Below are 21,437 nucleotides of genomic sequence, written 5' to 3'. Positions count from 1 at the left end.
TGAGTGCTTCTTTTGAAAGAAGAGTCTATTTAGAATTTAAGTAGCTTTATTCCAGGGATATTTGTGATCTACTTAGGAGTAAAAGATAATCCTTTGGATTTCCTGGGCAGTCCTCCTGACTGCTGACAATGCAGTATGCAGTAAGAGGTTCTTAGCTCATAGCATTAATAGACATTTTCCCCGACACCAGAAATAAGAATTGCTAGCGCAAATCTGAGTGCTTGTCAAGGGTACTAGATTATTAACCACCAAGGGCAGGTTCTCTCCTTATTAACACAACATGTGCCAGAAGTGTTCTTCAACGTGTCCTACCAGTTCCCAACATTCCTTGGAATGATGAAAGCACTTAATATTCATTTTCCTTTGACTACTATGCTTTTACCCATATTAGAGAATTTCTGGATTTTCCTTATGTATATAGAGAAAATTATTTCTTTCTACATTTATCATCTTATTCAATAAAGATTTGTGTAAAGATTCTCTAAACAATTTCTCATTCCCATGTGTTCAAGTGAACCTTACTTTAAGCAAACCAGCCTATATGGATTTTTTTTTTTTTTTTTTGAGACAGAGTCTCACTCTGTCACCCAGGCTGGAGTGCAGTAGTGCGATCTCGGCTCACTGCAACCACCGCCTCCTGGGTTCAAGCGATTCTCCTGCCTCAGCCTCCCCAGTAGCTGGAATTACAGGCATGCACCACCACGCCCCACTAACTTTTTGTATTTTCAGTAAAGATGGGGTTTCACTGTGTTGGCCAGGCTGGTTTTGAACTCCTGACCTGAAGTGATCCACCCGCTTCAGCCTCCCAAAGTGCTGGGATTACAGGCATGAGCCACTGTGCCCACCCTATAATGGATTTTTAAAAAATTTCTCCTATTTATTAAGAATGTAAGTTGGAGCATAATTATTTACATTGCTACAAAACATACAGTAAGATTATTCTAAGTGACAAACTCCCCTGAATAAGGTTGAAATAGTCTTTGAATTATAAGATTTGTATTAACATACCATTTTCAAAAATATACTTTTTATGAAGAAATAGGGACATATATTATAATCTGTGTGGAAAATGGCAGTCCACAGAATGATCCCCATTTATTTCAGAATTACCAGTGTTCCTACCATCTCTCTCATAGGGCTGAGCTGCATATATAAAAAAGAAAAATTCTAATTATTTTTTCCTGTTAATAAATATTCATTTTGAATAAATATGAAAAACTTTTGAAATACAGCTGCCTGAATCTCATATTTAGTCCCGTAGTCATTTGCCCTAAGCCAGTAGAATATGGATTATTTTAATTTATATTTGCCTATATATTTTAGTCTGAACATATTTGAAAGTAGGTGGACAAATGATAAAATGTTTTATTCATGTGTAAAACTGCCTCAAATGAAGCTGATATGAATGTCTTTTTTGAAAGAGTTATTTGAGATTATTTAATTTGAAGAGATACTGAATTTAAGATACACTGAAATTCTTTACTTGCCTAATTATATTTCACATTTCCTACAGTACATATTTTTAAAGAAAGATTAATATACCTACTTTGCCTGTTATTGGGAATTCTCACAATTTGTTTATCAAAGATATTTTTGTATCACTAGTTTGTTATGTAAGGAGCAAGTGTAACTTTTTATACAAGTTGCTGAAATATTTTTTTTAATGTAGGTTAAAAGAAGTGTTCTTACAGCAATCTCATATATAGAACTATATAAGGTATTATGTATAAGGTATTAATAGTTGCTCCACACTTTTAGAGATGTCTCTTGGAATGTGCCTAAGCTACAATTGAGAAAGCAGTTACAAAAATTTGCTGCTGGAGAAGATTTTGATCTTTGCTGGGATGAGGGACATCTACATGCCCTTTATTTTCAGAGCTTGCATTTTGCATTTTTATTGTTACTGAGGACTGTCTAAATTAATTTGTCTCCCTATCTTCATTTTCAATATTTAACTACTTGCAACATTTTATACTTTTAGAATATATTTCATACCAGTTATTGTGTGTATCATACATTGGGCCAGCTCTATACAGGTGGCCCAAACTCAACAAATATGAAGTTATGGTTTGTTGTTTTTGCCTACAATACTCTTATAGACACTCTAGATTGTCCCCTGATTTCTTTTATCTTCCACGAATTTTATAGATCTTTGTGGGGCTGTTTTACCTTTGCCTCAAAGGTGATGACATCAATCACATTATACTGACTACTTCTGTCTTTTAATGCCCAAAATAATCACAAAATCATGTGTTCTTGGCACAAACAGGTTATTCTTTAGTTTTATGCCTGCTTTTACCTGAAGGCTTATTTACAAACTAATTGCAATGACAGGGTAAAATTATCATCATTGACAGTTAACGGAAAGTGGTACATTTAAGCACCATAAAAAAAAGTCTTAGATGCATCTGGGAAATAGTTCTAGGAGATAAAAAAGGAGAAAGAGGAGGTGAGGCCCCCGAGATTTGAAAAGGAGATAGTCTTAAGGTTGTTCCGTAAAGGAGGTATGCAGAGGTAGGATTGGATTCTCTTTAATGTTGAATGCTATGCCCAGAGAGGCAGTATCCACTGAAGGCCTGCTGACTCCATGGTTTCTGCCCCAGCCTCTGTTTGGCTGGGAACACAGTGGAACCTGTGGTCAGCTGCCTTAGACAAAGCTAATTCAGCCCTAACTCCATCTGCCACACAAAAGCAACTCCACACCCTTCACTTCCACCTGCTGTGATGGCCAGTGGTTACCTAGCCCAAAGAGGACTGCTGGTAATTGAATCTATGTTTTGTACCCTTCCAGGTCTTAGAATAGGTAGGGTGACAGTAACTATAGAGGCAGAAAGAAGCAGTAGGTAAAGGAAAGAAAGAAAGAAAGAGAGAGAGAAAGAGAGAAAGAGAAAGAGAGAAAGAAAGAAGGGAGGGAGGGAAGGAAGGAAGGAAGGGGAAGGGAAGGGAAGGAAGGAAAGAAAGGAGGAAGGAAGGAAGGGAGGGAGGGAGGGAAGGAAAGAAGAGAGGAATGAAAGCAAAAATGAAAAATGGAAGAAAAAAGAGGTAGAAGTGAGGGTGGCATGAATACATTATGAAAAGAATGTTATCCTGCTTAATCTTCCAAGAATTTTCCCCTCTTTATCTTCTTCCTAGCTAGTTTCTTTTTTTTTTTTCTTCCACTTCCTTTGGTAAAATTTAGTGTAGTTTCACCATGTTAACTTATGACCCCAAGGGAGAACTTGACCATATAAAATCTTGTCATGTTAGACTGTCCTCACACAGTCCCGTAAATAATATTGTAAGGTAATACTGGTACCATTTTGTTTTTTAGGCAATATTGGACGTTGTTGTGAATCTTCAATTTAGCCTGATAGAAAAATTGTGGCAAACATTCTGGCGCTATTCTCCCTCTACTCCAACTGATGGCACTACCATTACCGAATCGAGGTCAGAATCAACATCTTTTCCAATTCATTTTCATGGCTGAGTAGATGTCACAACTAATAAATTAGAGATATGTATACCAGTTGTGAACCTTACCTGATGACATTAATTGAATAGATTGATGTTTTGGCCATCCTAGAAATAAACCATGAACTGCTCTCTTGAGGTTTCAGTGTGTGTATATAGCTCCCATTTGTACTGATTTGGGGGACTGTGGTAGTTATTTCATCCTCATGGAATTACTATCATATCTGCCTTTCATACCGTCAGAAAATACAAATGTGCATAGACAGCTCTGGGGGAGTGTTTTATATATCTGTCTGTCTCTCTCGGTATATATAGCCAGCTGTATGGCACCAGTGCAATGGTGGTATAGTTCTAACCTCAGTAATATTTGGTAAACTTAAACTATTTTTAAAGTCCATTTTCTTTTTTATCCTCATTTGCCATCTATTCATTTGCTACATTTATTCACACCAGCAATCTGAGTGAAATAGAAAGTCGACTTCCGAAAGCAAAGCTGATAACTCTGTGCAAACATGAGTCTATCCTGAAATGGATGTGTAACTGTGACCATGGGATGTACCAGGCTTTGGTGGAGATTCTCATCCCCGACGTCCTTAGACCTATTCCTAGTAAGTTAAATGCAGACGAGTACGGATGCTTTTGTTCTCATACATTCCACCCAGGAAGTTTTGAGAAGTGACATTGCAATCTAGAATGATTCTAATTTCATTTAGATTTGCCAGATAGAAAACATGCAACACAGAATATTGCGTGAAAGCAGCCTAGAGCAAAACTGTAGTAAAAGGGAACAGATGATCTATTTTTCAGTCTTTCTTTTCTTTTTCTTTCTTTCTCCTTTTCTTTCTTTCTTTCCTTTCTTTCTTTCTTTCTTTCTTTCTTTCTTTCTTTCTTTCTTTCCTTCTTTCTCTTTCTTTCTTTTTTCTTTTTTTTGATAGAAAAGCCAACCTGTAGATATAACAGCCCCAGTAAACTACTTGTAAGAACACTAGCAGGCCAGTCAACCGTATAAAAATTATTCTACCCAAGGACACAGTCTCCTTCATAAAGCCAAAAATTATGGAAATCTGTAATTGCTAGGCCAACCTCCTTCACGGTTGCTTTTGACTTGAAGTGAATCTATCTTGATTTCCACTGAAGTTGAATTCCATTATAAAAGCATTTACTTTGTCACCTACATCATGTTAGGAACTACAGATGCGGTTTCCATTAGCAGTAATGGTTAACTGGCATTTTGAGAGAAAAATCTTTGTAACTACACAAGCATTGTAATCCCACTATGAAGAAAATGGGAATTACATAGATAGGTTAGATTACCTTTTTAAGTGATGGTGCTTTTTAAACTACTTTGTAGCAAACAAAGCTATTTTCTCAAGTATCGATATAAACGCTACCACAGATACTGTTAGAGGCAGCTGAAACTATTTTATGCCTATATCTATATGAGTACACAGTAGTGACCTTAACTTTTTAAGAAATGAGACAGTTACTACTCTACATTGACATCAATAAAGTAAAAGCAAGCATATAGCTTGTGAAGTTGGCTACTGTGTACTTCAAGTATACTATTCACAGATGATTTGTGTTAAATTATTCTAGAAAATATGAAAATAGGAATTTAGTAGAACAAAAGGGGAAGATATTAACATTTGTATGCTTATACTTTCTTTTTTTCTAAATAACAATAGACAACAGTAGAAGGTATGAGATCTTTAATATGTTCCCGGCCACCTTGAAATGTATGCTTAAACATATTTCCATATAATATTAATGAACACACGTAAATTTATATAGGAATAAGTAAAAAAAAAATTAGCTGACATTATCTCACAATTTTGTAAATTGGTAATATATTCTACTCTACCTACAGCAAGTTTCCTGGCTAAAGGTTGATTAAAAGTGATGTTTTAGAAAGTTTCACTAGCTAAATTCTCTACTGATTTATGTTCCAGAATCGGATTTTCCTTGTTTTTCTCTTGCTCCCTGTGCTCTGAGTGATAATCTCTAGAGATGTTTATAAGAAGTTGCATAGGGTAGCTCATTAGCCTATGACATCTTACTACCAACATAAAATTTTTCTCATGAGATAAAAGAAGGGATGTCAGCAAGTACTTTCTTTTTTGAGGCAAATCAACAACATCAGTATTCATTAAACAGTTCTAAAATCTTTTGCTTCTGTAACAGCACCATAAGACTTTAACTTGTGAGTTTAACAGTTCTCTGTTTTAAATCTTGTATCAATTTTAGTTTAATTCAAGCCCATAATTTTAAGTACACAATACACTGGCCTTTGTCTTTTGCAAATTTTGATTTGAAAACCAGTTTATTCTGTCAAATAGCTTGTCTCTACATTAAGCAGACACCCGAATAGTTTTGTAGTCTCTCTGAAATTATAAGATGCATTGATATACCACCCTGCCAAGAAAATTTGGAAATTTAATTCCCATTCTACAATGAGGTGTAGCAAAGTAAAGCTTAAAATACAATTTAGATAGCTATCTTCTGCTTGTATGCATTTTAGTATTAATCTTGAGCAGGTTGAGACAAGTCAGCTTTGGAATAGAGTTTAAATTCCAAACCATCCATTCATGAGGCTTTGAAAGTTGTCAGAGTCAATCTGCACAATTTTGTACATACATGAATCCCTGTAGAGAGAGCAAACTTAATTTTATTTTTAAAAATTGTATTTTCCTGGCTACTAGCACTTCACTCTACCATTTTCTGTCCAGATGGGATTTCTTTTTTTAGCTAAAAAAATTCTGCACATCACACTAATTTAATGTCAGCTTGAAGCTACTATATTCTAAAATGCAGTTATCTGAAAATGAAAAAAACGTTAATTGTATGAGCACTCAATGGGTAACACTTAAATGTACAATTGGAAGTATAACCAGAGGTGGCCCAGAATATCATTTAGTAGAAAAAGTAAAAATTCACAATTATTTAAAATGCAAAATATATCTTTTCTCACCTAATTGCCCTTGCATTAAATTTATCTAGATAAAACAAGGCCCGTAATAAATATTTTTAAAGTAATATTTATAGATTTGGGGGTTATTTTTCAGATTAAATAATTAATGTACACTAATTGTAGGAAAAATGGAAAATGCAGATTGCCAAAATGAACCTTGAACAAAATTTTACTGTTTCAAAAGGGATTATTAATTTTTTTTCACTCTTTTTCATTTCCATTCATGCCTGCCCTCCATGGTTCTAGCACATAATACAACAGAAAAATATTTTTCTTTCCTTTTTCTTTTTTTGACTAACATGGGAAGCTTTGAAGGTTTCAAAAGATTAGTTCTCAAGAAATTTCCAATTCAGTGTTTCCAGTAGATGATCCTCGTGGTTAAGGATCTGCACTGCTTGAGTGTTTTTCCTAACCAAAATTTAGCCCGTTCCAATCTCGTCTCTCCAGTTTTGAACAGTTAAACAAATCTCTTAAAAACACATTTAGTTGTCTTTATTATTGGAATGGGAAAATTTATATTGTTTGCAAATAACTTGAGTAAGTGAAATTATTTATAAAACCTGGTTTTAACAGAAGCATAGAGAATCATGTCAGACTCATTTGAGCACAGAAAGAAAAACCAAGGAATTTAAGCCCATCCGTAATATTAATATTCCTGGGGACCTCGGCCCAAAATATAACTGTGTTTCTTATAGTAGCATATGTTGATACCTACCCCATTATAGAGAACCTACAAAGGTTACTTTTATGTTGTGGGTGCTTCAGGCACTTGTCTACTAAATGTCTCTAATTTTCCTCTACATTACTATGGAGCCTTGGGCACAGAGGAAGTAAAATACTATTAACTGGATTACTTGTTGAACAAGGAAAGTATTCTGTCTCCTACTATATAGCAATCTCAGTAAGCAGATTTTTTCTTATAAAATAGTCATAGTCATCACTGATAACTGAAGATGCTTCTCATTATTTTATGACCACCGTAAAATCTTCTGTCATGGGACCTATCCCTATTTCAGGTTTTAACAGATATGTCAAGGATACAGAATGAGCTATTTTAGGAGTATCTTAAGAATACGGGTTTCCGTAACAGCAATTTTATCATACTGATCGTTTACCTCTACCTGCCAAATGAAATGGAAAATAATTGCCCAAAAATTTCAATTCAGACAATTTTAATTTTTACCTTTTCAACAAGGATGAGAGAGAATTACTCTAATTCACAGATTCTAAGTAAATAGATGCATAGAGAAACAGAGCAAGCTTTGCATTATTTTTCTTTTTAATAAAAGAAATGAAAATAGATTAAGAGCTTGAAAGAACAAGATGAAGAATTTTAAAGAAAATACATAGCCTTTAGCACAAAACTGTTAATGAAAGGAGTGTTTTTTTCCAAGCAAGAAAATTCTTTAAGTATATTCACAACTGGTATATGTTGCTGTAAGCAAAAATGTTTGAATCCTTTTTTTTCCCAAAAAAGCGTCATAAGTATCTGGGAACAAAATAACTTTAAAAGAAAAAGCCCAAAATATAATTCTTGGATGCTTTAAAAAGTTAGGAATAATGTTAAATAAAGTTTCATCAATGAGGACAATATGAGTTCTGTGCTGTATCAGATATTGTGTACGAGCATTTTCTTTTATTCTAGCACAAACATTAATATTCTTTCATACTTTTTTTTATCCTGCTTTTATTCTTTAATGTTTAGGTGCCTTGACCCAAGCCATTCGAAATTTTGCAAAAAGCCTTGAAGGTTGGCTTTCCAATGCCATGAACAATATTCCACAGAGAATGATACAAACCAAGGTATACTTTATGTCCTTGCTTTTTCTTTTGTGTTGAGGAAATTATTCTGAATTGTGAACTTTACATCTATCCTATCAAATGGTATTATGTAAAATGTTGAGGTTATAACATACATCATCTTTTAAAACTGATTTTTATATTTGTATTTTATAACCATGTAGTAAAGAACTTGCACAAGAGATGTTTGACAATGTTCCTTTCAAAGAGAATAGGGAAGCATTTTAAGTGTGGTGCATTTATAAGCTCTTTCTAAACAATATAGTAGATATATATATTCTAAATTATATCTGTGAGAAAGATATAAACTATAAATGTTTAATTTCAAATATTAAAATAATAGCCTAGAATGTTCAAATAGTTTTCATTTGAAGGAATTTTCTATTTCTAAAATTTCCTGCTATACTTATCATATCCTGAAAAGTTCATAGAAATTAATATTGTTTTGCTTTTTCAGGATGTTTTGGTGTTTTTCTAAACACTGGAGAATGCTTTTGTGAATAAAGTGAACAATTAACTCATAATTAATCAATATATCTCAGGAATGTGGATTATTTAGCTAGAGATACAAATTTTAGTCTCTACTTTGTCTCCTACTAGCCATGCTGCTTCCAGTTAATCTGTGAACATATCCTCATAGCAAGATTGGACTATTTCTAAATTTTATTTAAATGTTGGTAACAGAAATCACATTTGTGACTTCTTGTCAATGACTGTATTTACTGTCAGACTCCAGCAATATACTTTGCCTTTGAATCGGGGGGCAGAGTTGAGCAATTGAAGTTATTTTAGCTGATAAACCTCTGTGGGAACATAAGTAGCCTCCAGTTCGTTTGCTTGGGCTTAAAGTTTGCAATAAAACTTTCTCTCTCTAAAACATATAGAAGGCAACATTTCATTGATGTGCCCATATTAGATTGTTCCTCTAGAAATGTGCTTTCACAGTAGGGCCAGCCACGTGTGGCTATTTAAATTAGAATTTTAAATTAAGTGAAATGAAAAAACTAGCTCCTCAGTCATACTCGCTACATTTTGAGTGCTCAGTAGCCTCCTCTGGCTGCTGGCTACCATGTTAGGCAGCATATGTGTAGAGCATGTCCATCATGGCAGAGAGTTCTCTTTGGCATATGTAGAGCATGTCCATCATGGCAGAGAGTTCTCTTTGGCAGTGCTGTTGTATACCACATGGAGGTGTGCAAGAAAGAAGGTGGCCTTTGATTATGGTCAAGGAATCCTTTTCAACTTTCAGTCAGTCACATTTGTAACAATACCTCAAACAGCTAAAAGCACTTCCCTTCCCAGTGTTGTCAAAGTGAATGTGGTAACAATCCAATTGCAACGTTGGCCATCTCATTGACCTCCAGAGTTTGGTTGAATGATTCACCACAGTAGAGGGTACCGTCTGTTCTTCTGGTTTCACTGATATGCAGTCTTTTTTCCTCTCCACATTCAATTAACAGAGACAATTTACCCTGACAGAGGAAACAGCATTCCAACTACTGTGGCTTTTGGAATCAAAATGCCCAGGTCAATTCCCATCAGTAATGAAGTTTCTTTGCAGCCTTGAGCAAGCTACTTATCTTCTTTAAATCATAATATGTGTCTAATAAGATAGTTATGAGACTTGAATAAGATAATATATGTAAGGCACTTAACCCAGAGCCTGGCACATAGTATATACTGGATTAATGTAAACCACAAAAATGGAATAAGGTTCTTTTTTGAGGACGTATGAGCTTCCCCCCAAGTTCCAAATAGTCCTCAAACATCTCATGTCAAGATAGAGCATCCTGTTCCCTGTGAACACCCTCTACCGCTCCCAATTGATCATTCAACTGCTCGTACCTTATATACCCATATAGTGATTGAGTGCAATACTATACATTCCTGTAGATGTGTCTATTTTTAAAATATATTTTTAAAAGATTAAAATCATTAGATCTATATTGTGCACATAACAAATTTCCATGAGATTATGAGATTTAGATTTCATGTAGACATTTTGCATTATCTTTGCTGTCTTTCAAAATAAACTGCTTCATTCAGGGTCTGAACAGGCAACAAATCGTGCATCCAACGGTGGGGATAAACAGAGTTTAAGAAGAGTTTATTTCCAAAGGTATGAACAGAGTTGAAAAAAACAAAGAGGAATAGTAAAGCATCCCAGGGCTAGCAATAGTGGGAATTCTAACCATCCCTAGGAATGAAGGGGTGAGAGGTGAAAGTTATGGCATTAGGAAATCCACTCTTTCCCTCAGGACTGTGGTAACATTAGAAAAGGAAAGCAGGTTCCGCTCTAACAGGCAGCAAGCAGAGGTTGCAGTGAATAAGTACCCTGGTAACCGCTCTTTCTTCCCATCCTTCCATCTCCTGCCAGTGCCTGTTATTGGTCAAACCCAGGTGGAAGCCAGAGAACAAGAGGGGAGGTTAATGTGGTCCATTCGGATCAATCTTCCTGGGCACAGAACAAGATGAAGAAAAATGGAAAGTAGATTTTGAGAGGCAAATAGAAATTTCCCGCATAGCCCTTTTAAAGAAACTCTAATTCTGAAAAAAGGTTATTCTAGTTGGTTGCCTCTGATAATCTCGCCTCAAAATTACTCGTTTCTATAAAATAAAGGTAGTAAGAATAAATCTGAATGGTAATGCTCTCACATGCATTTTTAAATACAATGTAAAGAGTAGGAATGTCCAGATCTCTTTTTATTTGAAAGGGCAAACTGCACATCCCTACTTTTAAAATTTGCCTAGTTTCTACTTGACTGTCCAAAGAACAGTAAAAAAAAGAAATGAAAACCAACATTTTTCTTGCTTCCCTACTCAAAGTCATTTCTTACTGTGGATGAGTAGTCACTTGCAAGACTAGTTTAATTAATGCTACGCTCAGATGTCGAAGAATGTGGGAGTTTGTTTTAGTCTTGACCTCAACCTACTCAGAAGGAAAATAATACTTGGTTTAGAGATTTAAATGCTGTAATTTACAAGTAAACTCTCTCACCAAATGAATTTTAAATAAGTGTCAGAGGCAAGCATTTAAAATTTGTGAAGGGAAAGAAGATTTGAAAATTGCAGTGGTTTCTTTTACTGGAGGAAACAGAATCCCAACTTAATTGGATTGCGTTACAGGTTGCCGCTGTAAGTGCCTTTGCCCAGACTCTGCGAAGATACACGTCGCTTAATCACCTGGCCCAGGCAGCTCGTGCAGTGCTTCAGAACACTTCCCAAATCAACCAGATGCTTAGTGACCTCAACCGTGTCGACTTTGCCAATGTCCAGGTATTCTATTTCCTTGCAAAGCATGTCTCTTAAGGAAAGATACCCAATTTGTTCTTCTTAATTGGGATCATCAAATTTCTTTTCAAAGTCTCATCTATATATGGCAGCATCTATATTCACAGTGTTCTGAAAGAGAGGAGTTTGACCCAGATACAGCTGTAGTGCTCCCATGTTTGTGGTTAAAGTAAGCTCACATTTACAGTCCTAAAAGACAACGTAATATATCACCAGCATTTGCTGAATAGTTAGTAGAGTAATAAAGGTCACAGTCATTGAAGTTAGACAGGCAAGAAATTAAGCTGTCTCATATACCAGCTGTGGGATCTTGGGCAATTGCGTTACTTAACTGCTCTAGGCTTCACTTTCCCCACCTTACAACACCTGTCTTAGATTATTGTTTATATATTTAATAATTTGTACCATGACATGCAGAGATATTTCTATTTTGTTGCCCCTCCTTGAAAGAACTAAGAACAATTCTATTTCAGAGTTTACTATAGCTGCCTAGTAAATATTTATTCACTTGAAAAGAATTATATGCAATAAGTTCAACTATTGTGGTAGTTCAAATGAAAAAATATTTTTTAACCTTGTGATCACATTACCCACTTGTACTTTAAAGTATATTTTAAAAGCTAAGTTAGAAACATTATTATAGAGTTTCAATATCAATAAATACTTTATTTTTGATTCTAAAGTAATGAATCTAAATGTTACCAAATAAAAACAATAGCATTGCCCACCAAAAGCATAAGCAACAAGAGGAAAAATACATAAACTGTACGTAATCAAAATTTAAAACTTTGGGGTTTCAAAAGAGACCATCAAGAATGTGAAATGGCAAACCACAGAATGTGAGAAGATTTTTGCAAATTATATATCTGATAAAGGACTTGTTTATAGAATATATAAAGAACCATTACAACCCAGTAATAAAGAAAACCTGATTAAATATGGACAAACATCTGAGTAGACATTTCCGCAAAGAAAACATACAAATGGCCAATAATCACATTAAAAGATGCTTAATGTCATTAGCCACCAGGGAAATACAAGTCAAAACCACAGCGAGGTACCATTTCGTATACTCTAAAATGGGTCTAAGCAAAAAGACATATAATAACATACCCTATTGGCGAGGATGTGAAAACATTGGAACCTCATACACTGCTGGTCAGAATATAAAATGCTGTAGCCACTTTGGAAAACAGTGTGGCAGTTTGTCAAAAAGATAAACATATAGTTACCGTATGACTCAGCAGTTCAACTCCTTGTTGTATACCCAAGAGAAATGAAATCATGTCCACACAAAACTTATACATAGAGGTTCATAACAGCACTATTTATATTAGCCACATAAAAGCAGAAACAACCCAAATGTCCGTCAACTGATTAATAGATAAACAAAATGTGATCTATCCATACAATGGAATATTATTGGGCAATAAAAAGAAATGAAGTTCTGATTCATTCTGCAGTATAGATGAACCTTGGAAACATGATGCTAAGTGAAAGAAGCCAGGTACAAAGGATCACACGTGACATGATTCCATTCGTATGAAATTCCAGAATAGATACATCTATACAGACAGAAGGTAGATTGGTAGTTACCTAGGCCTGGGGGATTGAGAAGACTGGGAGGTAACAAATAAGAGTCATGGGGTTTATTTTTAGGAAAATTAAAAAGGTCTAAAATTGATTGTGGTCAGTGATGTACAACTTTGTGAATATCCTAAAAGAAACCTTTGAACGGTATTCTTTAGATGAATGAATTGTATAATATGTGAATTACATTTCAGTAAAGCTGTTAAAAAACATTACTGTTGTTTTAAAAATAAGCTAATTAGTAATTATTTTATTTTCTAGAAATTTTAATTTCTACTTCTTGCCTAGTTTTGTCATTTAAAATATACCAAAAAGTAACATTTGGGCTTGATCCATTTTAGAGTACGATAAAAATTAGTTGTTCATTGAGACTTTCATGGACTGGGTTCAAACTTCTGAGATATATATATATATAGAGAGAGAGATCTATATCTATCTAATATTTTATATTAGATATTTATATCTATTTATATCTAATTTAAAACTATATATATGAAGTTTTAAAAAATATCATCTATCCATCTAGAAAAACACATACACACATACAAGTACATAATCTTTACAAGAACAAAGTTTCTCAGCTTTACAAAACCATTTACTTTACATATTTCCGTGGGATGTATTAACTGAATAAGCAAGAGTATTAAAAGTTAATATTGCCTTAAAATCTATACTGTAATATTTATTTCAAATCTTTTTTCAGAAAAGATTTGTTTAAAAGTCTCTTAAGAAGAGTTGAAGAAGTAAGGCAGCTTCTAGTTTCAGAAAGTAATTTAAACTCAGTAACAGAAAACATTTTAAAGAATTATTTATAATAATATCCGAAAAAGTTTTTCAGTGTTCTGTTAGCATTATTATATGTATAAATACATATATATATATTTGTGTATCTGCATTCCAATGAAGTATTTCTACAAATGAGTTCTTCCCTGGTTATAAGCATTAACCTTGGGAACATTTTTGCATATTAATGATCAGTGATATGTCTACTGTACGACTTATCCTCTACCTGCCAACTTTAAGAATACCCTTTCTTTTCCTCTATTTTTGACTATCATGTTTTTCTGGGTCCACCATGATAGCCATTACTCCTGAAACCCATATGATTCGGCATCTGCCCTCCAAAACCTTCTTCCTTTCTTCAGAGTACCATGACACAGTAGTGAGCCCTTCATTTCCCCCTACATTTTACTTTTCACAGCTCTGTACATATTAATGAGTAATCTCTTTCTCAAGGTAGCACTTTTCCTCTTTAACACCCTTATTTCTTTCCTTTTCTTTTCCTAGTTTTGCCAGATTTTCCCAGAGTCCCTTGCCTCCCATTTTACCTTTATCCCCATCTCCAGTTCATTTGGAAGTCGTCCCAGCTTCTATAACATGAACCTCAATAATCTGACAATATAAGAATGATGCTCTTGTAATAAGGAGACTTCTATTTAAAACAATGAAATTACATGTGTGTCAATATTATAATACACTTAAGAGCTTGAAAGTGCTAAAAAGTTCCTTTCAGGATATCCATATATCACTTTTCACTACTTCATTCTCCTCTAATTAAATTTTCTTTTCTTTATGCATTTAAGATAATTTTTCTATTGCAGTATAACTGGTTTCCTGTTTCATTTAATTGATAGTATTACGATGGCATAATTCTCTAATTTTTTGTGTAAATGGTGGTTTTTGAGATCTACATTATGGGCTAAATAGCTTTCGGTGGGCTGACCTGATAACTTAGCTATTGCATATAGTTGTGTTTCTGTATTTAAAAGGCATTCTGATTTTGAAGTTCCTGACTACTTTTCATTTTGGATATTTTTTTTTTCTAATTTAAGAACATCTCTAAGTGTCCTTAGCTTTTTTAATTATAGACTTGAAATATCTACATTCGTTTCACAAGGGAATATTTACAATGCGCTCTATTGTTAGTATATTTTCACTTTAGAGAGTAGTAAAATGAAGTATAATATAAAGTAGTTTGAAAAGCCAGAATAATGTGCTGTGGTTTTATTTCTCTAAGTTAGGTTTTAGATTATCATCTTTTCTTGGCAAAAACTAACTGCCAAGTAAATAGTGAGTTTGAATTTATGGTAAGAAATGAAATTAAATTCCTTCATGGATACTAGTAAGTTTCTCCTTCCAATTATCAACGTGCAAACAAACAAAAAAAACCTCTCCTGCTAATTTCAGCTTTATTTGTAATACTAAAATGTTGGAACAAACAAATGTCTAACTATGTGGGATTGGTTATGTAAATAATAGTATATGATGCAATAAAACAAATTCATTCAGTGGACAATGAAGATAGGTCTAATTTGCCTACATGGAAAGATGGTTATTAAATATTTCTAAGTGAAACTAAGCAGAATATCTAATAGAAAATATAATATGATCCTCTTTTATTTTAAACATTTAAGTATGTATAAGCATATAATAATATAAAATGTATGTGTAGATATATGTGTTTTATAATACAAATATATATTTAAAATATAAATGTATGCATAAATAATATAGTGTATATATATGATGATATATGCATAAATTATTTCTATATGCATGTGAAAAGTTTGAAAGGTACATACATCAATATGCTGTAATTTCTTACTGTTGCCATTTTAAGTATTCTTAATGTTTTGTTCCTTTTTTGCTTATTTGTATTCACAGTTTTTTCTATAATGATATTTTAGTATACTTAAAATATTTAAAAGTGGTATTCAGAAGGTAACATCTGAATGGATTTATGATTAATTAGATAAGAGGAAAAAAGACAGTGAATAGTATCATCAGCTGAGATATAGAAGAAACAGTAGGTTTCCCTGGGAAAATAAAATAAGTTGAGTTTGGGGCATTTTGCATTTGAAGTGCCTTCAGGTTGAAATGTCCCTTGAATAGGTAAAGTCTGTAGGATCAGGAGAGATACTGGAACTAGAAGATGGAGATAATGGATTTATTCAGTTGAAGTTGTTAATTTGAATGAACTTGTTTTTTGAGAGCATATAGAAAAAGAAGCTATAGACACTCTTTTGAGAAAAATACATATGTATTCACAAGGTTTTATTAGGAGCCTCACAGACACTTCTCCAAAGAAATCTATCTTGACAAAATTATCTGGACACAATGAACCCAGCTTAAAATTTTTCATTAAATTTCATTTCTTTAATTTTATGCTTAGGGAAACTGAGGCCCACATAAATTAATTGCTTGAGGTTAGTTTTGTTTATTCAGGACCTAACACCTATGTCTTCTCATTCCCAGTCAAATATTACGTTACCAAAGAATTATGTTTTGCCTTGAGTGAATAGGTTTTTTTAAATCTTAAAATACAACATAGCACTGGAAACATCACAGTACTTATGGCAATCACTGAAAAGTAGCCTTAAAAGTTCCTATTTTCATTGCTGTTACCAAACATTTCCCAACCAGAACCAGAAGGAAAATTGCAATAATCACATTTTTTGGCAGGAAGCACGTCTACATTTTCTCAAGAGTTTTTGTTGTTGTTGTTATTGTGGTTTTCATTTCTCTGAATTAATTTGCATTCATAGCCTTGCCTTGATAGCCCTTGAGATTTCTGTTCCCAATCCATATAACTCACAGCAGCATATGCTTCTACCTAGTATCATTTAGTGTTTGTTTCTGTTTTAATCTTGAGGGGACCTCTTTTGGCCAATTTTATCTATTTATCTGTCTGACTTACCCTAAATCTTCTCAAATAAATTGGTTTTAAAGTTTTATCTGATGGGGAACAAAAAGACAACTTCTGAAAGCAGTATGAAAGCTGAATAGGATGAAAGACCCTGCCTACTGTAGGTTCAGACTTCTATTTTTTGAAGTCATCATGTATTTTAGTCTTTTACACAGACTAGTTAATGTAGAAAAACCAAATGATACTTACATGTGTCATCACTTTTCTGTGTACCAGAGTGAGCAACGAGAAATACTCATCCCTTAAAACTGATAAAGATTGTGTTACCCTAACAATTGACAAGTAGTTTTTTATTTTCTGGATTCATTTAACTGTGTGAAGCTTTTATTATAATTTTCTGTTCTTGCATCTAGTGTGTGTGCTGGCATTCAATGAAAGGATGCTGAATTGAACTTTTCCTTTTCTTTCTGTGTTACTGTCTCAGGAGCAGGCTTCCTGGGTGTGCCAGTGTGATGACAACATGGTTCAGAGACTAGAAACAGACTTCAAGATGACTCTTCAGCAGCAGAGCACCCTGGAGCAGTGGGCTGCGTGGCTTGACAATGTGATGATGCAAGCACTGAAACCCTATGAAGGAAGACCCAGTTTTCCTAAAGCCGCCAGGCAGTTTCTGCTAAAATGGTCTTTCTACAGGTATCATCTAGGTTTTTCCTAGGCTTTCTTCTTCATATTCTGCAAATATGTGTGTGTATGTGTTTGTATATGCTTCTGTGACAAAAGAAAAGAAAGTAATAAAGACTTTAGTTTGTGGAAACTCCCTGTTACAACTACCTTCAACCCAACTCAGTGATTACAACACCATGGAAATGTACCAGGAAACTTAGAGAAATAAACTTTCTGCTAGGAAAAGAAATCTCTTGCTCAAAGCCCTACATGTCCTCAGATGGGAACGTCTGAGATTCCAGTCTAGATAATGTGTTCAGCAGTAATCAGAAAAGGGCAACTGTCCTCCCTCTTGCAACATACATTATTTAGGCTTCTTTCTTGAGGCCTAACACTAGTCTCCTTTTTGTTCTCTGTTTAGTGATGTTCAGAATGTGGTCCCTAAACCAGTAGCACCACTATCAATTGGAAACATGTTAGAAATGCAAATTCTTAGCACCTCCTCCAAATCTACCTGTATCAGAACCTGTAGAGGTAAGGCCCAGCAATTTATGTTTTAAAAAGTACTTAAGTTGATTCTGATGCATACCCAGAACCATCTATTTAACTTCTTAATTTTATCAATTATAACTGTTTTCAAACCTGGCTGCACATCAGAATTAATGTAAAAAAAAAAAAAAAGAAACAAATCCTAGGTGCCTCCCAAGACCTACTAAATCAAAATCTTGGTGGTCAAGAGATAGTGATTAGTGGCTGGGCACGGTGGCTTACGCCTGTAATCCCAGCACTTTGGGAGGCTGAGGTGGGCGGATCACGAGGTCAGGAGATCGAGACCATCCTCGCTAACACGGTAAAACCCCGTCTCTACTAAAAATACAAAAACAAAATTAGCGGGGCATGGTTGGGGTTGCCTGTAGTCCCAGCTACTCTGGAAGCTAAGCCAGGAGAATGGCGTGAACCCGGAAGGCGGAGCTTGCAGTGAGCCGAGATCATGCCACTGCACTCCAGCCTAGGCGACAGAGCGAGACTCCGTCTCAGAAAAAAAAAAAGAGAGAGATAATGATTAGGAATGAGGATAATCAGGATTTTTTTCACAAAGCTCTCCTGGTGATTCTAATGATCATCAGTAATCTCGTAGACAGTAACATAGCTTATTAATAATATAAATCACTTTTTGACTAAAATAGTATAGATAGAAACGTGTATTTTTGTAGACATAGAAGCACCCAGAAGAAAAGGGCTTTCTGATTACATGACATATATCAAATGATGGGATGAGCTGTTGACCATAACTCGGCCACAAAGATTAAAAACAGCATTTATGACCTTTGTAGGTCAGTGTCTCTACCATATATGTAGGATGGAATTGGCAGAGGGAATTCTTCCATAAGTTGGGTAAATTATATTTTTAACTCTGGCATTTGTTCTTATGGTGAGAGTTCATTTTTTAGCTTCTTTAGATAAAGCTGGCCCCACTGATTTGGCCCTAAGATTAATATCTGCTGTAAAGTATAGGCAGTCTCTACTGTAGATTCTGTGCAGCCATGCACATATCAGAAAGTGGTGGCCACAGGACATACACCTGACTGTAGCTGTGGCTACACTATGGTCATCCTCTGGACATCAGTGGTGAGTCCAAAGCTAGTTGTGAGGAGGGAAAGACTATGAATGAGTAATAGAATGTAGGAACTAATAGTACTTGTGAACTCAGTAGACCCAGACTATAGGATTTCCATATTGCTTTGACCACCTTTGGTTATAATGATGGAATCAGAGGTCTTTTAATTATGATGGTAGTTCCTTTGGTTTTATTATAAGTGACTTTTTTCTTTCTCAACTGATTTGGTCCATATTCTTATTTCTTAAACTGAAGTAGACGTATAGATCCACATTATATGTTTCATAAGAGTTAAATTATCCTTACGTCCTGAAAATAGCTGTCTAGTGTCTAGCCCAGGGTCAAATGCAATGAAAGAAAGCCAACCAGTTTTTTGCTGTTGTTTTGTTTTTGTTTTTGCAGTGGTACAATTCCACAGTCCTGCCTCTCATATATTTAACACCTTTAGCCCACATAATTCAAGAAGCACATTATTAAGGTGTTGTCTGGCTCTGTGACCCACTAGTATGCATCAGTGAAGCCAGTGCTAGGTTTGGATCTGGGTGTTTATGAGAAATGTGTTGATGAGAAATTAAGTTTTCCCTTGATACAGCAGGAGGATTTGAAATGCGTTATCACAGTGTTCTCAAGGTAGATGCAGCAACAGTTGTAGTAATGGTAGAATTAGAAAATTTAATTTGGGAATATTTTTTAAGATTTCAGCCAGGCACGATGGCTCACGCCTGTAATCCCAGCTACTCGGGAGGCTGAGGTAGGAGAATGGTGTGAACCTGGGAGGTGGAGCTTGCAGTGAGCAGAGATCACGCCACTGCACTCCAGCCTGGGCGACAGAGCAAGACTCCATCTTAAAAAAAAAAAAAAGATTTCAGATATTTTCCCAGTTGCCCAACAGTTTCTTTTTATTCATCAAGTTTTTTCCCAGATAACAACGTAAGTGGTATATGTGCTCCATGAATAATTGATGAAACAGCAGTACACTGACTGGCTGTTCCAAAACTTATATGACCAAAGGCAGAGTCCATCCTCTACATCCAAAAAAGCAAGGTGCTTTTTTTCTTCCTACTGCTTTCTTATGTTATTAGTGTCAGACTTGCCCTTACGTCTACCTGTGGTTGGTTTTTTTTTTTTTCCTATATTTAGTTGATGTCATTTTAGAAATACATCCCTGGAGCCTTCATCTCCACAGAGATCTGTTGCAGGTATCTTGAAGGGAGAGAAAATTACTTACTTGTATTTCTTGTTCTCTGCAGATATACAAACCCAGTAGATCATCACTTGCCTGCCCTCTGTCCTCCCTGAGTTGAGGATAATTGGCTTGTTATTATTAGATACTATTATAGTTATTATTTTCGTTTCAAAAAGACTTGAAGGCCTACAGTTCAGGGCCCCAGAAGGAAAGGCACATTCAGACAGATGCATACCTCCTGCTGGTAGGCAAAGTCAATAGCTGAGAAACTTAAGCCTTTAATATCTGAACTGTTTTTTACTGAGACATAAGAACATATTGAGTAATGAAAATTACATTCACAAACTATCAGAGAAGCAGAATTAGAATATTTTTTAATGTTTTTGGCATTACAGATGCCAAAAATTTGTAAATTTGTAAATGCCATTATAAATTTGGCAGTCACATACACAGGCCCTTCATGTTCTGAAATCAGATGCTTAATCTAATTTCTAAAATTTTTTGTATATATTTACATGCATGGAAATATAGAAATGAACTTGCCGAGAATCATAATAGCAGTTGATACAGCGCTACAAAGAGGTTCTGCTCTGAATGGGGGCTCTCTCCTTGCCTAACCTGGCTGTCAGTGACTAATTGTGGTTCCCTGGGAGGCAGAAAAAAAAAATCACTGCCTTTCTTGGGCAGAATTGGAGAAGTTATATGGGCCATTTCTCAGCTTGTGTGTTTTGGATAACAGAAGAGAGCATTCTTCAGGGCCACCCTGAAGGTCATTCAGATATCCCATTTTTAAAGAGTGGAATGTATAGCTTTGATATTTGGCGTGAAAGTAGGCACAGGGTGCCTAGTTTGCCTACAACTGGACAATATATGAATCTTCCAAAAAGTAATACTCTTTTTTGAATCAACTGTAAGCACTTTTCAAAGAGTGAGTTCACATAAGGATCACAGGCGTGATGTTCTCACCTGAAGGGTGTGATACATCTTCAAACACTCAGAAGAGGCAGGTTGGCTATCGCATGTTAGGGCATATATTTCAATTTCCACGCCATGAGTTATAAAGATAAATACACAAAGATATTTCTTGTCCATTATAAAATAATTAACGTTTACAACTCTGATCTTAAAAAGAGTTGAATTCATGGTAACTTAGCAACAATTCAGTGGAGTCAATTTTACAACATTTCTTACGGAAGTCTGAATCGGACAATAGGATTCCAATTAA

The 21,437-nt window shown here is 34.9% G+C and overlaps 1 protein-coding gene across 33 annotated transcripts in view; it reads left to right on the top strand.

Moving 5' to 3' along the window:
• RFX3 (regulatory factor X3) overlaps window positions 1-21,437 on the top strand; it is a 307,705-nt gene that overhangs the window by 251,573 nt on the left and 34,695 nt on the right. For 32 of the 33 annotated variants that reach the window (XM_047423701.1, XM_047423699.1, NM_001282116.2 and 29 more), the window contains 5 exons: window positions 3,311-3,426; window positions 3,904-4,058; window positions 8,124-8,221; window positions 11,345-11,494; window positions 17,230-17,438. In XM_047423701.1, coding sequence (XP_047279657.1) covers window positions 3,311-3,426; window positions 3,904-4,058; window positions 8,124-8,221; window positions 11,345-11,494; window positions 17,230-17,438 — 728 coding nt within the window. Of the gene's footprint in view, window positions 1-3,310; window positions 3,501-3,903; window positions 4,059-8,123; window positions 8,222-11,344; window positions 11,495-17,229; window positions 17,439-21,437 lie in introns of those variants that run through there. The other variant, NM_001282117.2, reaches the window with a different exon arrangement.

This window comes from Homo sapiens, chromosome 9 (genome assembly GCF_000001405.40).
Source record: "Homo sapiens chromosome 9, GRCh38.p14 Primary Assembly".
NCBI lineage: Eukaryota > Metazoa > Chordata > Mammalia > Primates > Hominidae > Homo > Homo sapiens.
This window is presented reverse-complemented; position numbering and strand designations above follow the sequence as displayed.